Raw genomic sequence first — 15,085 nt, 5'->3', positions numbered from 1 at the left:
CACGGCCCCAGGAAAAACAAATGACTTTTCATAATTGCCATTCAAACACAGCATATGTTTTTAAAGATGCAGGGAAAAAATTTACCATTTTTGTCACTACACTAGATTTAATGAGTGATGAAACACGTTTTAAAAAATCAGTTGACAGTTACATCTGTCTCCGGGAGGGTATACAAAAAACCGGTAATACTGGCTGCTTCTGAGGGACCTGGGGAGACAGAAGCAGAAGGAAGCATTTCCACTACACACACCACTCTACACCTTCTGAACTTTGAATATATTGCCACTCAAAAACAAATAGAATGTAGAAGATTTAAATACCAAACAATTTAGTTTACAGTAATAGAAACATTTCAATTTAGAACTCCTGAAGTATCCAATTCTTTTTGTTTTGTTTTGTTTTGTTTTTTGAGACAGAGTCTCCCTCTGTCACCCAGGCTAGAGTGCAGTGGCATAATCTCGGCTCACTGTAACCTCCGCCTCCCGGGTTCAAGTGATTCTCGTGCCTCAGCCTCCCCAGTAGCTGGGATTACAGGTTTGCGCCACCACGCCCAGCTAATTTTTGAATTTTTAGTAGAGATGGGGTTTTGCCATGTTGGCCAGGCTGGTCTCGAACTCCAAGCCTCAAGTGATCGAACTGCCTCGGCCTCCCAAATTGCTGGGATTACAGGCGTGTGCCACCGTGCCCAGCCTTCGTTTTTTAAAATCAAGACAAGTTAAAAAAAAAAAAAAAGAACAGAAACAACCACTAATCTTCCTTGTTTTCCCCCACCATCAACACAGAATAGACGCCTAATGAATAAAACACAAATCAATTGTATATTCATTGTAAATACAGAAATCCCAACATTAAATATGACCTGTCTCCATAGGAAATGTAAATAATTGCTTATTTTTAAAAGAGTTTTTAAAAATTAATGCAGCTTGCTGACAAGGGAAAACAACTTGGTGACTACTAAAGGTTAACCAGACAGGAAACACCTAACTGTGTAGGATGAATCCTGCATTTGATGAGACTAGTGTTAAAAGGATGTGCAGGGGGTTAGACGGGGCGGGGGAGAGCAGTAACAGGGACAGTTACCAAGCCATAAAACAAACGAGCTGAAACAATTCTTGCCCTCTGACTTTTAAAAAGGCTGTACTGACAAACAGGAACTTCAGCAAATCAATGCTTATGTTCTGATGAAACTGCCACAGCTGAGTAAAATTAAATTCTGGGCCTTTGGGGAAGGCCTTTTTAACCAGGATCTTTTTTTTTTTTTTTTTTTTTGAGACGGAGTCTTGCTCTGTCGCCAGGCTGGAGTGCAGTGGCACGATCTCAGCTCACTGCAACCTCCACCTCCCGAGTTCAAGCGATTCCCCTGCCTCAGCCTCCCAAGTAGCTGGGATTATAGGCACGCGCAACCACGCCTGGCTAATTTTTTGTATTTTAGTAGAGATGGGGTTTCACCATGTTGGCCAAGATGGTCTTGATCTCCTGACCTTGTGATCTGCCCGCCTCAGCCTCCCAACGGGCTGGGATTACAGGCGTGAGCCACCGTGCCCCGCCTAACCAGGATCTTTTCACTGAAGATAGAGAGAGAGAGAGAGAGGACTGCTTTCCCTCCCCAGCACCCTTCAGACAGCAGCACATCAGCACAGGGAAGGGGGTCAGATGGGCAAACACCCAGGACACACAGCAGGGCCATGACAAAGACAGGGAGGAGTCCCCATCTATTTTTCCTTTCAAATGTACTTTCCCATGGAGATGGAATTATTAATTATGCCTGAATTCTCAGATCAGGCCCTATTTAAAAGGGTTTCAAATTTCAAATAACTGTCTTAGCATGATTTTGACAGTACAGAGGGAGGCCTGTATAAATGCATTTTCTGCGGGTTTCCAAATAGAGATATTTTTCATTTTAGCACTCTAAAAAAATCTTTGAAGGTCAGTCCAGACTCTCATTCAATGCAGAATTCCCCACCGTCATTTTCCCCATGGCCTCATCCCTATACAATATCTATGACCTGGGAGTTTGTCTCTTCATGGACACTTGCAGTGATGGGGAAATTACTACCTCATAAAACTCCTGGGGCTTTCCCCCACATGCCCAGTGGTTCTTGAGGAACAACAGTTCACAAAAACTGGGAATAAGACATTTGCCTTAACAATTGGTCTGGCCCTAATTACAACTTTCTGTCCTTTTTTCCAAACTGCTGGGTTCTCCTTGAATCTGTACTTTGACTCCAGCAGATCTCACACCCCCATCCCAGCTGAGAGGACTGGACTCCAGGAGTTTCCCAGACAGACTGTGCTTCCTCTCACTTTCTAGCCTTTGCACATATGGCTTGGTAAGACTGGAAGAAGGATCACTGGCAGGACTAGCTCCTGATCATCCCACTAAGACTCACTACAAGGATCATCTCTTCCGAGAAACCTTTCTAAACCCCATATCCCACTTACCGCTGCATCTATAGGGCCAGGGACATGGAAGACAGTCACGTTTGTTAAACAAGCTTTATGTTTTAGTTGTTCAACCAATTAATTTTGAGAGCCTAATCATTTTACAATGTCATGTTTGAGAAGAAATCTCCAGAGTTTTGAAGCTTTTTCATTTCTGCATGTAACACTCAATGTTACCTAAATGAGATTTTAAAAGACACACTTCTTCTACAGTATTGGAAAAATTTACTTTCTTGGTGAGACTAAAACTCTGAAGCTTTCATATTTGTGGAGTTGAACAGTACCTTCCACAAGTATAAACATTTTCCATTTGTGATAAGAATAAAAAATTAGCCTGGATTTTTGCCTAAACTTGTCATAGTCCAGCTTTTAGCATCCTGTTGCAATTAACCCCTTCAGATATAAGAGGGTAAAGAAACCTAATTAAACATCAAGCTGTAAATATGATCATTAATGTTACTGAATCATCAATTATTTCTCCTATACAGAGTTAAGAAAGCTGCAAGCTGGTTTCCATGGCTAACTGGGGCTCACTGCCAGTACACTAGGTACTAATGGCTCGTAAACTGGTTGAGCAGCTGTACATTTCCAGGCCATTAATTTCCCTGTGTGACATAAAGGAAGAATGTTATGTTTTGCAGCTAACTTTGCACTTGATGGAAATGAATCATTTTTAGTTTATGTTTTATCTCATAAATAATCATTTACAGGGAAAATCAAATTTTATCTAATAAAGCAAGAATATCCCTCCATACTATGTCCAACACACATTCATCTGGCAAACATTTATTTGCCAGCCAAGCTGTCTTCCTAAGTGAGGCCTCTCAAGACTGCTCTAGGCTATAAATTTGAAGGAAGAACAGGGCTATATATCTGCTGCAGAAAAGGGTTCAACGATGTACCATTGCGAGTAGGCTCAAGGTCAAGCTAACTGGAGCAGAGAGTATGAGAAGGCAGAAGCATCTGTCCACAAAAACTGTTCACTGTGTGGAAAAAAAAAATCATGAAAATATGGTCCCACTCACAAGCAGATAATATTGCAACTGTCTACAAGCCCCTCTGAACTTTCTCCTTAATCAGGCTTCCTGGACCTCTGACACATCTGACTGGACAGGCTGAGCTGTCATTAAAGCTCATGTGAGGCCAGTGTGGTGGCTCACGCCTGGGATCCCAGCAATGTGGGAGGCCGAGGTGAACAGACAGCTTGAGCCCAGGAGTTTGAGACCAGCCTGGGCAACACAGTGAGACCTTATCTTTGCAAGTAATACAAAATTAGCTGGGCGTGGTGGCGAGTGCCTGTAGTCCCAACTACGAGGGAGACTGAGATGGGGGGATCATGATCACTTGAGCCTGGAAGGTCGAGGCTGCAGTGAGCTATGGTCACACCACTGCACTCCAGCCTGGGTGACAGAGTAAGACCCCTATATCCAAAAAAAAAAAAAAAAAAAAAAAAGCCCATGCAAACTTGCCTGTGTCATTCTCATACAGCAGCCTCTTCCACAACCAGCAACATGGGGCCATCAACAGTCTTCAATTTAGACCATTATCAAATGTTCTCAAAAGCCACTGATACAATATGCAAATTTTCCAGGTATATTTCCAAATAATTTAGAATGAAATTCTAAGTAACCTATCCAATCCCACGTTTTCAAGGGGCCAAGGGAGAGTACAAGGTAGGTTAGTGGAAGGATACAAGAGGTGACCAGTAGACATTTAGCTGACAGTTCCACGTTTGGAAACTCCCTTGCTGTGACTACCTTATAAGTACACAGGAAGTCATTTAACTATCACAGTCCTCCATTGTTCCACTTGAATCAGAAGTGGCTGAATTAGGTGACCTCCATGGTCTTCTCTGCAGGCTAACATTACTTGGTTTTCAGACAGGACCTGTGCAACATGACTCCCTGACTAAGCACACTTTTCTCCTTCTTCATATAGTCAGAAATCTCATTCCTGAATAAAGCAGGTACACATGGGCAGGCTCTGCACATTCAGCAATTTCCCAAAGGCATCAGTGTGCCAGGCCTTTGGGGTGTGGAGGAGAACCCTGAACAGCCTCTGGGCTCCCCAGATCCTTCTCCATGAACACCTTTTCTTTGGTCACAAAGCTGCTTGAGGATAAGAGCTCTAGAGTAGATAAGGACCACAAAAAGGCATGCTGATCACCCTAGCCCCACCATACCCCCCACCCGACCCAAAGAGAACAGAGGGTCCTCCTCAACAGAGCGCTGACCTTTCAGGGAAGGAACACAGACAGAAGCTTGCAGCAGGACTGCACTTTTCCTCCCTGAGGGCAAAATAGAGGGTATCTCACTCAATGTAGTAAACTTGCTTCTGGAAAACTACATATAAAGCTAAAACTTTAGCACATAGAATAATTTTTCTTTCCCTAAATGAACTTATTTTTAAAAGGAATTCTAGTGGTACTCTTCACAAATGAGAGCTTTCCACAAATCCAGATTTTCCCATAATTTGACTTAAAACTAGATACATATATATGTATTGAAATCACTTTTTAGATATTGTTTCTATCCGTTCTGCCTGACCACCAACTATACATACAACTATACGCTATAGATTCTAGCGTATCTATATCTGCTCAGCATATTTCTAAACTAAATCGTCATTACAAAAAAATCCAATAGGTTAAATACTTCTGTGTGAGAGGAGAAATGTAACAGTTACTTGCAAGCTAACAGTTCCGATATTCTGAAGACCAGAAAGAACAAAAACGGTTCTTCTCCCTGCCCTGGAATTCAAGGGGTGTGTCTTAAAAAATAAACCACAATTCCTGCCCCACCCCAGTATAGGTTCATGACTATAGCCAATATTGTCAACACATCAACTTTCACTTCAAAATTGTTTTTACCAGGTTATCAAAATACTCCCCAGGTTTTGTGTGCAGTCTAATCTTAAAGGCAACAACACACATAACAAGCTGTGTGGCCACGTTTCTGATATCTGTATTATCCCTTTATTTATTATTTTTTCCTAACTCCGATATAAAAGTTCAATTCAATGACACAAATCTAATTTAGAAATTTAAGGGTATCTAGCCCTAAAGACAAAAGTTTTCCAAAAACTTTTATTTCCTATGTAGTGTTACTATGCCAGAGTGACTGATGGCAACTGAAAATGATAATGTAAACATGTATTTGGCATAAAAATGTGTGTTCATGATCTACCACTGAATGAAAAAAAGACCATAGGATACAAGCTAAGAGATTCTATTTCACATGCAAAGACCACATATGTACATACATTGTATGTGTCCACACCCTCCCCAGCATCTGGAAGAGTGTCTACCAGGACATCTCTGGTTGGCAGAGACTGGAAGCCTAGGCAGGGTCTGGGTGGTGAGAGAGCAAGTTCAGGGCAGTTCGCGTGGAGGAGGCGCCCGAGCATGGTGAGGACCTGTCAAGGGGATGAGACTGCCAGAGGCATGGGCCTTCCAAACCGGGAACACAGGTTTAAAGCGGATGAGAAAAAAGCAAAAGTCACATGCGGAGAGTCTGTCATCAGCCAAGTATAAGAAACAACACAGAAGGGTGCCTGGTGTGCCCCCAACCCAGCTGTGCACCTCACACACCTTTAGTGAGCGTCTAACCTAGGCTGGGGTCTGCTCTTAGCAGCAGAGACTCAGTGGCCTCGTGGAGCCTGCAGTCGAGTAGGGGACACTGGTATCAACCATATAATCACAATTTAAAACATGTCAAGTAGTAGAAAGTAGGGTGCAGAGTGGATGCTGACAGCAGGGAGGGGAGCAGGACAGCAGGGGCAAGCTTCCTGAGACAGAAACACTGGATCTGATCCAAGAAACCAGGCTCAAAAGCAAGAGGGCCTGACCCTGTGGCTGAGGGGAGGGCTAGGAGGTGAAATGAGACAAGAGACATGGGTGGTGGCATGTTTCGAAGGACCTGGTGTTCTTCACCCTGAGAGCCAAGGGCCGCCCGTGTCTTAAGCAGGGTACTGACAAGATCCCACCTGTTTGCTGAGGACCCCTCTCTCTGAGGCAGCAAAGGCCCCAGGGTAAGGACCAGCACAGCTGTGCAGAGCCACATGGCAGTCCATGGAACAGACAGCAGCTTGAGCTAGCCAGGGTGGTGACAGAGAGAACAGCAAGGAGAGTGGACACAGAGATGTGTAGGGAGGGAGGGCAGAAGGGCAGACTGGACACAGAGGGCCAGGGAGGGAGGCAGGAAGCACCCACACTGCTAACGTTTCTCCCCACATTCTTTTGTGGACATAGCAACAAACAGACCTGGTGAACTACAGCATGAGCCAGATGTACTTCATGTTGCCTTAATCTTGTCCACAGAAACGTAAGCGTTTTAAACCTACTTTGACTCTAATAATAAAGACTTTTACGAGTTTACAAAAGAAAAAAGCTAGGACATAAAAATGTTTGCTTGTATTGTAAAGCTCAGTCTCTCAACTATTTATGTAATATAATTATTACTAACAACTGACGTTGGAGTACCTACCCAGCACATTATGTGTTATTAACCTCCATCTCAACCCTATGAGGCATGTATTGTGATTATACCCATTTACAGATGGGGAAACTGAGTCTTAAAGCAGTTAAACGACTTGACCAAACAATACAACCAATAAGAGTGTGTGGATCCAACCCAAGTTGATTTGACTCAAAGATTCCTGTTTCAGTCATTAAACTGCACTGTCCCAGGGCCTAAAACATTCTCCCCCACAGACCATCACAAGGTCAAGTCTGAACTAGCACTGCCTCTCAACACTGACAACCTAACCCCGGAAGCTTCTGGGAAACTGGGTGCATGACAGGCGCAGGAGCCGCAGCGCAAGCCCCGGAGTGTAAACACTGACTAGAAACCACCCAGACACCTCAGCCAGCCCACACCTTCTCTCTCTCCAAATGACCCAGACCTAGTCCACGTGAATATTGTGAATGGTCGGTTTGAGGGTTCTGAAAGGAGCCTCGTGAGGTGCTCAGGTGCAGTCCCCACTCATATGAGTATTCCTCTTCAGCTGGTTTTCTCCTGCAGGTTTGGAGGCAAAAGCTAGTGAAAGAAGTGACCTTCTATGTAACTGAATTCCTAGATTCCTTAGGAGTCTTTGGGTCCAAATTACCCAAAAGACTTTATTTCCTTTTAGAGTACATGGAATTATTCAATGTTTCCAACAGTTCTGGAAAAAAAAAAAAGGCAGATTCTAACAGGTTTTCTTCATCATAGCAACTACGCTGAAACCAAGGGTACTGTTGAACAGCAACACGCACTGGAAGCAATACAAACAGCAAACTTCAGGAGAGCGTGGGTGTATGAAGAGGCACTGATGATGTGTGACCACACCGATTTCGGTTCCTCTGAGAACACTTCATACCACAAACACACTTTAGAGCTCAAGCTGGTCAAGCAGCCACTTGCTCCTACTGCTTCATGCAAAGGAAGTCTGGTGAAGAAGGTGATTCTAATTCTAAAACACAAATCAAACCAGTCACTCTGTGAGACTAATAAAAGAAAGGCCTGAAGTTTTAATCCTCCAATCCTGATCTCAAGAACCCCTGCCAAGAGAAAAAACTCACTCTTAGGGCATATATATATGTATATATATATATATATGTGTGTGTGTGTGTGTGTGTGTGTATATGTGTGTGTATATATATATGTGTGTATATATAATATATGTATATATATTTTATATATGTGTATATATAATATATGTATATATATTTTATATATGTATATATATATTTTATATGTGTGTATATTTTATATATGTGTGTATATATTTTATATATATGTGTATATATATGTGTGTATATATATATATATATATTTTAGATCATGGTTCACAGCAACTTCTGCCTCCCTGGCTCAAGCAATCCTCCCACCTCAGCCTCCTAGTAGCTGAGACTACAGGCTCATGCCACCACGCCCAGCTAATTTCTGTATTTTTGTAGAGACAGGGTTTTGCCACATTGCCCAGGCTGGTCTCGAACTCCTGAGCTCAAGCGATCCCCACGCCCCGGCCTCCCACAGAGCTGGGATTACAGGCGTGAGCTACTGCACCCAGCCTAGAGCCAATATTTTTGATTGATCAAAACACTCTAGGGAACTATGTTCTACTGAACAAAAATTCCCAAAATAGAAGTGAAATACCTCAAAATGTAATGAGACCACTATATAGAACCAAAGCAAGTGCACTATTTCTAAGGAAAGTGAAAAAAAACATTGATAGGTTATTTTTTAAATCAGAGCCTTGGGGAAGAAATAAAGGCTCTGATTATTCCTTCCCCGGGGCTCAATATAATTTAGGAAATAGCACCTTGGTCAAGAGCTAGATGTATTGAGTGCTTCTTATGCGCCCAGAACTGTGATAAGCACTTTGCATACACTTACCAAATTTAGTTTTTACAATAATCTAATGAAACAGTACTATTATTATTCCCATTTCAAAGGTGATGAGACAAGACATAGAAAGTGTAACTTACTATACAGTTATTACGTAATTGAGTGAAAAACTGAAACCTGGCCTCAGCCTGGTTTTAAACCATAACGGTGTACTGCCTGCTAGTCAGAAAATGGTTATTTTTCTCAGCAGTAGATGAGAACTTATAATCAGAAATCATTTAAAAATTCAACCACGGCTAAACACAATGTGGTATCCTCGACTGATTGATGGCATAGAAAAAAGACATGATGAAGATAATGGAAGGTGCTGACAAGAGGGGAAGCTAGGTGAGGACTATGTGAGGATTATCTGAGCTCCTGACCTCTGCAACTTTTCTATAAATCTAAAATTATTCCAAAATAAGGTTTATTTTAAAAATTCAAAACTTTAATTCTACATGACAACAGAGCTGGTATCTCTGTCAATGACTGGAGGAAAAACAGAGAAGGGGTTTTCCTGCAGATTAAGAGAGACTTAACAGACATATCAATCAAATGTATTATTAAACTATGGCCTTTGTTTAGATCTTGGTTTAAAGAAAACAAATGTAGAATGCTACTCTTGGGACAAGTGAGGACATTTGATTATGGGTGGGGTACTGGATGGTGATAAAGAATTATCACTCGTTTGTTAGATATGGTAATAGCATGTCCATCTTCTCAGAGACCAGCTTATAAAAGAAAATGTCCATCTCCTCAGGGACCAGCCCTGAGGTATTTTGGGATGAAATGACCTGATGTCTGGGATTTGCTTTTAAATAATTAAGAAAGAAAAGAAAAGAAAAAAGAATATGTGAAGCAAATATGGCAAGAAGTGTGGGTGATGAGTATAAGGATTGTTTCTTCTATTTTTATATTAGAATGAAAATTTTCAGGCTAGGTGCAGTGGCTCACACCTGTAATTCCAGCACTTTGGGAGGCCAAGGCAGAAGAACTGCTTGAGGCCAGGAGTTGAGACCACCCTGACCAACATAGTGAGACCCCATCTCTATTTTTAGAAAATAAAAAAGAATAGTTTTATAATAATACACACACACACACACACACACACACACACACACACACACACACACATTTTTTGTAACAGAGTCTCACTTTGTCGCCCAGTCTGGAGTGCAGTGGCACGATCTGGGCTCACTGCAAGCTCCACCTCCCAGGTTCACGCCATTCTCCTGCCTCAGCCTCCCAAGTAGCTGGGACTACAGGCGCCTGCCACCACACCTGGCAAATTTTTTTGTATTTTTAGTAGAGACAGGGTTTCACCATGTTAGCCAGGATAGTCTTGACCTCCTGACCTCGTGATCCGCCCACCTCGGCCTCCCAAAGTGCTGGGATTACAGGCATGAGCCACCGCGCCCGGCCAATAAAATATTTTTAAGTTAAAAAAAAACTTCAACCGTGGGGATGAAAACAAGCATAACTTCCTTAAAGCCAGAAGGTCATACACTGCTGTATATGTGTGCAGTGTGATGCACCGACAGCACAGCAGAAGGCATCAGGTCAGGACTCCTGGGTTTTCTGGGTGCTTCCTCTAATGAGAGATCTGAAGTATCATATCTGAGGATGTTAAATAGATTGCCCAAGATCATATGAAATACATTAAGGGATATGTTACATTGTGAAAGAATGGCACCAGGAAAAGGGAGGAGAGAATATTCTAGATGGAGAGGAGAATGCAAAGGCATGGGAAGGTGGAGAAGTGAGCCAGGGAACAGTGGGCGCCTCACTCTGGAAACAGTAGGAGCAATGACTGCGGGGAGCCGGGCAGTTTAGAGTCAGCTTTTGAAGAGTGAGAGCCAGGCTGATGGGTTTATGTGACAGGTGATAAGCCACACAAGGTTAGAATTCCGGGTGGGGAGGGGTGCAATCCTGGAGACAACCAGTTGTGGAAGCAGCTCCAGGCAGCAACACCTGCCATGGGGGAGGGAAGAGAAGACTCCAGAGGAGAAGCCTTTATGCTTTGCCAGGTAAACAGGTTGCTAAGAAAAAAATCAAACAAGATTAGCACACACACCAACACAGGAAATTATTTTGCATGTATTTAGCCAGATCATGCCCCAAATGAGAACACTTCAAACCCTCAGTACTCTCGAATCACCGATCCCACCCTCTTTTTCTATTACTCTTGGGAGATAACCCCACCTATGTTAGAGAAAACAGAAGTCTTCAGAAAGACGCCACCTCAGCTGTCTCCAAGCTATTGTCCCTACTTCTTTCAGAGTGCCCTCCGTCCAACTGCAAGTTAAAATATAGCACAAAATTAGTCCTGCCCTGAGTCTGCATTACTGTCATCTCGTTCTAGTGGCAGTAATGACGGTAATAATCATGGTGTTAATGCTTCACATACTATTTCATTTGATCCCCCTAACACCCTGTGAAATGAGCGGTATCCCTATTTCTCGGAAGTAGAAACTGGGCTCCCAACTGGTGAGTGACAGAATGGGGACTGGAATGGGCATCAGGGGCCCCATCTATGATCACTCTACTACCCTGCTTCTCTCAAGATCAAGAAAACAGATTTCTAAAATAGTGATGTCTTCAATGAAATGCTGTATAGCTGTAAAAGAAAATTCACTGAAGCACACATCTACACAAATAAATGTTTTAAAAATGTGAGTGGGCCGGGCGCGGTGGCTCACGCCTGTAATTCCAGCACTTTGGGAGGCCGAGGAGGGCAGATCATGAGGTCAAGAGATAGAGACCATCATGGCCAACATGGTGAAACCTCGTCTCTATTAAAAATATAAAAATTAGCTGGGTGTGGTGGCGGGCGCCTATAGTCCCAGCTACTCGGGAGGCTGAGGCAGGAGAATAGCTTGAACCCGGGAGGCGGAGGTTTCAGTGAGCCGAGATCACGCCATTGCACTCCAGCCTGAGTGACAGAGCGAGACACCGTCTCAAAAAAAAAAAAAAAAGTGAGTGAAAAAGGCAACTTGCACAGTGACACAAACAGTATACACCAAGGAAAACCTAAAGGAAAGACGGAATCCCATGCACTGTTAAGAATACATAAATGTGTAATGAAAGTATAAAGATATGCACAAAAGTGAGCCAAACTCCATTAAGGAAAGGGCTTCTTCGTGGAGGAAAACAGGAGGAGGGAATGTGATTGGAAGAGGAAACTGAACCAAGAGACCTCAACTCTGTAAGGTGTTATTTCTTGAGGTGGGTGGTAGATATTTGGAGGTTCCTTTTATTAATTTCAATATCTTCATTATTTTTAAAAGAAGGAAAGATGAAGATGCAAAGCAAACACTCTGAGTATGTAAGTCCACAAAGTTTCAAAGCACTGCGCCTGCCACCATGTGGCTCCTGAAGATGTTACAGGCACACAATTTTCAGAGGACAAAAGGGGCATTAACTCTGAGACCAATATCACATGAATGTTACCCACAGTGAAAGCCCAAGGAGCCCCTACTTGATACATAACCAATATTAAAATCATATCCATTTCCAAATAATGCTTAATAAAACAGAAGACATAAAACATTATGCTAGGAGCCCACTCAAAGGAAGACGAGAAAAGTTAAGGGATATAAACTATAAGACTAGTAAAAACAGATGGGAAAGACTGGGTTTCAGGCACAATTAACAGGTAAATGAGGACCTGTGAATTGACTTTAAGACCCAGAAGTAAATAAGCAAAAAGAATACAGTAAAATGGAACTCCGCCCATGGTATTAATAATTTCACTTGTAAAACTTAGTACTTTTAATAGGCAAATTTATTAGAGAGATCAATACCTCTTTTCTGGTTATATCCAGGTTAGAGAGAAATACCTAAAAATGAAACCATAGTGAATCCTACTAGATGCACAAAAATACACCCTTGTGTAAAAATCACTTCTATATGTGCACACATGTACTATTTATGTGATGAAGATACCAGACAACTGGTGTGCTCAATTATGTTCTATTTGTGTTTCATTTGGAGGGGGAACAGCTCAATATTGTGCAGCAGCACTCACCATGTCATGTATCTTGATTCGATGTGTCCCTCATCAGCTGGCTGTCCAAGCTAAGCTCTCCATGCTCATAGATGGCACCCTCTCACTGTGTCCTCACATGCAGGAAGGGGCAAGCAGGCTCCCTTGGGCCTATTTTATAAGGGCAGTAATCTCATTCATGAAAGCTCTGTTCTCGTGACCTAATCATCTCTCCAAAGGCTCCACCTCCTAATACTCTTACTTTGGGGTTAGAAGTTCAACATATGAATTTTGGGGAGACACATTCAGACCACAGCAGCATGGTACATGAGACATACCCTTTACTGCATACTCACCTGTGTGGCCTCATTCCAATCACTTTTCCCCTTCTAACAACTAATTGTGCTATATTTTAATTTCCCAACCACTTCCCTAGACTCAGCACACTCTTGTGTTTCCAGGATCTACCATTTCTCTATGTGGATGAACCTCCAGCCTCTCTCCTCACATAGGACTCCCACAATATTCCCATTTGGTGGAGCCTTCCAGAGCTCCCCCAGGGAGGCAGTGGAAGCTGTTTTCTCCTCTGGGATCCTACTGAACTTTAGACAAATCTATTTTGTTGCACTTGCTGTATTGTGTGTTGTTTATACGTTGGTTGCTCTTCCTCACTGAAATGTGAGCTCTTCAAGCCTGGCAACAGTAGGTACCTAAGAAATGCTTCTTGAATGGTTGAATTCAGTTCAGAAGCTTCATACAAACATGATAGTGCTAATAAAATTGTAAAAGTACCTTACAAATTGTGATTTTTTCTTACTAACGTATACACACATGCACATATACTGAAATCCGCCCCCCTTCCAAAAAAAGTCCTCGGTTCAGTGACAGAGTTTGCTGGTGAATCCAGCTGGCTTCACCTTGGTGAAGAATCCCACCTTGGTGAATTTTTAAAAATGTAAAGTCTGACCTTCAGCTTCTGAAGCTGAGCAATGAATGTTGTCAGCACCCTAAGGTAGACCTGCCACTCAAGCATCCTCATTCACCAACTTTTAGAACTGACGTGTAAAACCACAACTCCAACTTGCAAACTAAAATATCTAGCTTTCATAAGTAATGTGTTCTCTCCTAGACACAGGTCAAATGAAAACCTAAGTTATAATTAGAAGGTTGTCTGGTGTGCCTGAATTCATAAAAATAGTTATACAGTCTGAATACTCAGTGACTACAACAGCCAGATTCACCTCCCCCAAACTGGGGGCAGAGCTGGCAGCAGGAACCTGGTACTTGGGCCCGAGGGCCACGCTGCCTGGCCCCCAGGCCTGGTTGCCAGCTTCACCTCTGTGACTGCCCATACAACTGCTGCTTCCATGCTCACCGGGCCTTTCAGATGGTCATGTCCTTTCTTTACATACACATCCAGAGCCACTCCATCCCCTTTAGGAGACTACAGAGCTCTACTCCTGTGTCAAGTTTGAAGTTTCACTCTCAGAGGATAATCTGACTTCTTTTCTTTCCAAGTTGCTCTTGGGTCCCTCACTGTAGTCTAATATGGCCCACAATACACAGATAAAATGAACTTGGTTATAAGGATGAAGACTACACTGGATGGCATTCTCTAAGTGGGGCATCACTAAGTCCAAACACTGACACATTCTTCTGCTTGTGTTTCTGCTTATGTGAAGCCATGTGCTGGGCATGTAGTAGGTACTGGGCAGACATTTTTGGAATGAATAAAGAGGAAAATGGGGACAGCATAAGATGCTGAAAGGAATAAATTTCAGTAAGTTTCAAAATATGGAAAATTTTAAAAAATTTTATAAAAAATTAGGTATTTTGAGTGAGCTCTTTAGCTTGACACATGTAGGTTTCTAAGATGCAAGCAACAGAAACCACCTTGGGTTAATTTTAAGTAGAAGAGATATTTAATAAATGATATTTGAATGCTCACAGACTCTGCAGGATTAACAAAGAACCGAGCTTATAACAACACCTTGCCCAGCAGGGGAAGTCTGTCCCCAGCCCTACACCTTTGGACACAGTGTACCACATGGACCAATGCTGGGTACTGGGCTGTGCTGCTCACACCAGGTTCTATTGCTGCCCCTAAACAATGGGTGTCATGAGTGCTGTTACAACCGTGCTCTCCAGAAATGATTCCAGGCAATCCCTATTTCTTTGCATCTCTAGCTCTCAGGTCACAGTCCAATACAGGTGTACCTAATGGCCAGAGCCCAAGACACATTCCTGTGCCTCAGCTGCAGCTGCAGGTGAGGCTAGGAAGGCAGTCAT

At 42.7% G+C, this 15,085-nt stretch overlaps 1 protein-coding gene across 11 annotated transcripts in view, besides 5 other annotated features; it reads right to left on the bottom strand.

Moving 5' to 3' along the window:
- The window catches only part of LIMS1 (LIM zinc finger domain containing 1), a 153,576-nt gene that overhangs the window by 67,153 nt on the left and 71,338 nt on the right, over positions 1-15,085 (bottom strand). The window contains exon 1 of one of the 11 annotated variants that reach the window (NM_001193482.2): positions 12,839-12,947. The exons of the other annotated variants lie outside the window; for them this stretch is intronic. Coding sequence (NP_001180411.1) covers positions 12,839-12,846 — 8 coding nt within the window. The 5' untranslated portion in view covers positions 12,847-12,947. Of the gene's footprint in view, positions 1-12,838; positions 12,948-15,085 lie in introns of those variants that run through there. 11 annotated transcript variants of the gene reach the window in all.
- Positions 7,653-7,712: an enhancer, noted in NCBI's record as "active region_16349". NCBI's record gives its function as "activates an Ori minimal core promoter by ATAC-STARR-seq in GM12878 lymphoblastoid cells {active_cell/tissue: GM12878}" and the evidence as "EXISTENCE:reporter gene assay evidence [ECO:0000049][PMID:35858748]".
- Positions 10,360-10,861: an enhancer, noted in NCBI's record as "NANOG hESC enhancer chr2:109225689-109226190 (GRCh37/hg19 assembly coordinates)". NCBI's record gives its function as "activates a minimal SCP1, AML or CMV promoter by ChIP-STARR-seq in primed H9 embryonic stem cells {active_cell/tissue: H9 hESC(primed)}" and the evidence as "EXISTENCE:reporter gene assay evidence [ECO:0000049][PMID:30033119]".
- Positions 11,075-11,124: an enhancer, noted in NCBI's record as "active region_16348". NCBI's record gives its function as "activates an Ori minimal core promoter by ATAC-STARR-seq in GM12878 lymphoblastoid cells {active_cell/tissue: GM12878}" and the evidence as "EXISTENCE:reporter gene assay evidence [ECO:0000049][PMID:35858748]".
- Positions 13,980-14,029: an enhancer, noted in NCBI's record as "active region_16347". NCBI's record gives its function as "activates an Ori minimal core promoter by ATAC-STARR-seq in GM12878 lymphoblastoid cells {active_cell/tissue: GM12878}" and the evidence as "EXISTENCE:reporter gene assay evidence [ECO:0000049][PMID:35858748]".
- Positions 14,200-14,259: an enhancer, noted in NCBI's record as "active region_16346". NCBI's record gives its function as "activates an Ori minimal core promoter by ATAC-STARR-seq in GM12878 lymphoblastoid cells {active_cell/tissue: GM12878}" and the evidence as "EXISTENCE:reporter gene assay evidence [ECO:0000049][PMID:35858748]".

This window comes from Homo sapiens, chromosome 2 (genome assembly GCF_000001405.40).
Source record: "Homo sapiens chromosome 2, GRCh38.p14 Primary Assembly".
In the NCBI taxonomy this organism is placed as follows: domain Eukaryota; kingdom Metazoa; phylum Chordata; class Mammalia; order Primates; family Hominidae; genus Homo; species Homo sapiens.
The sequence above is the reverse complement of the archived record's forward strand: the minus strand, read 5'-3'. Positions and strand labels throughout refer to the sequence as shown.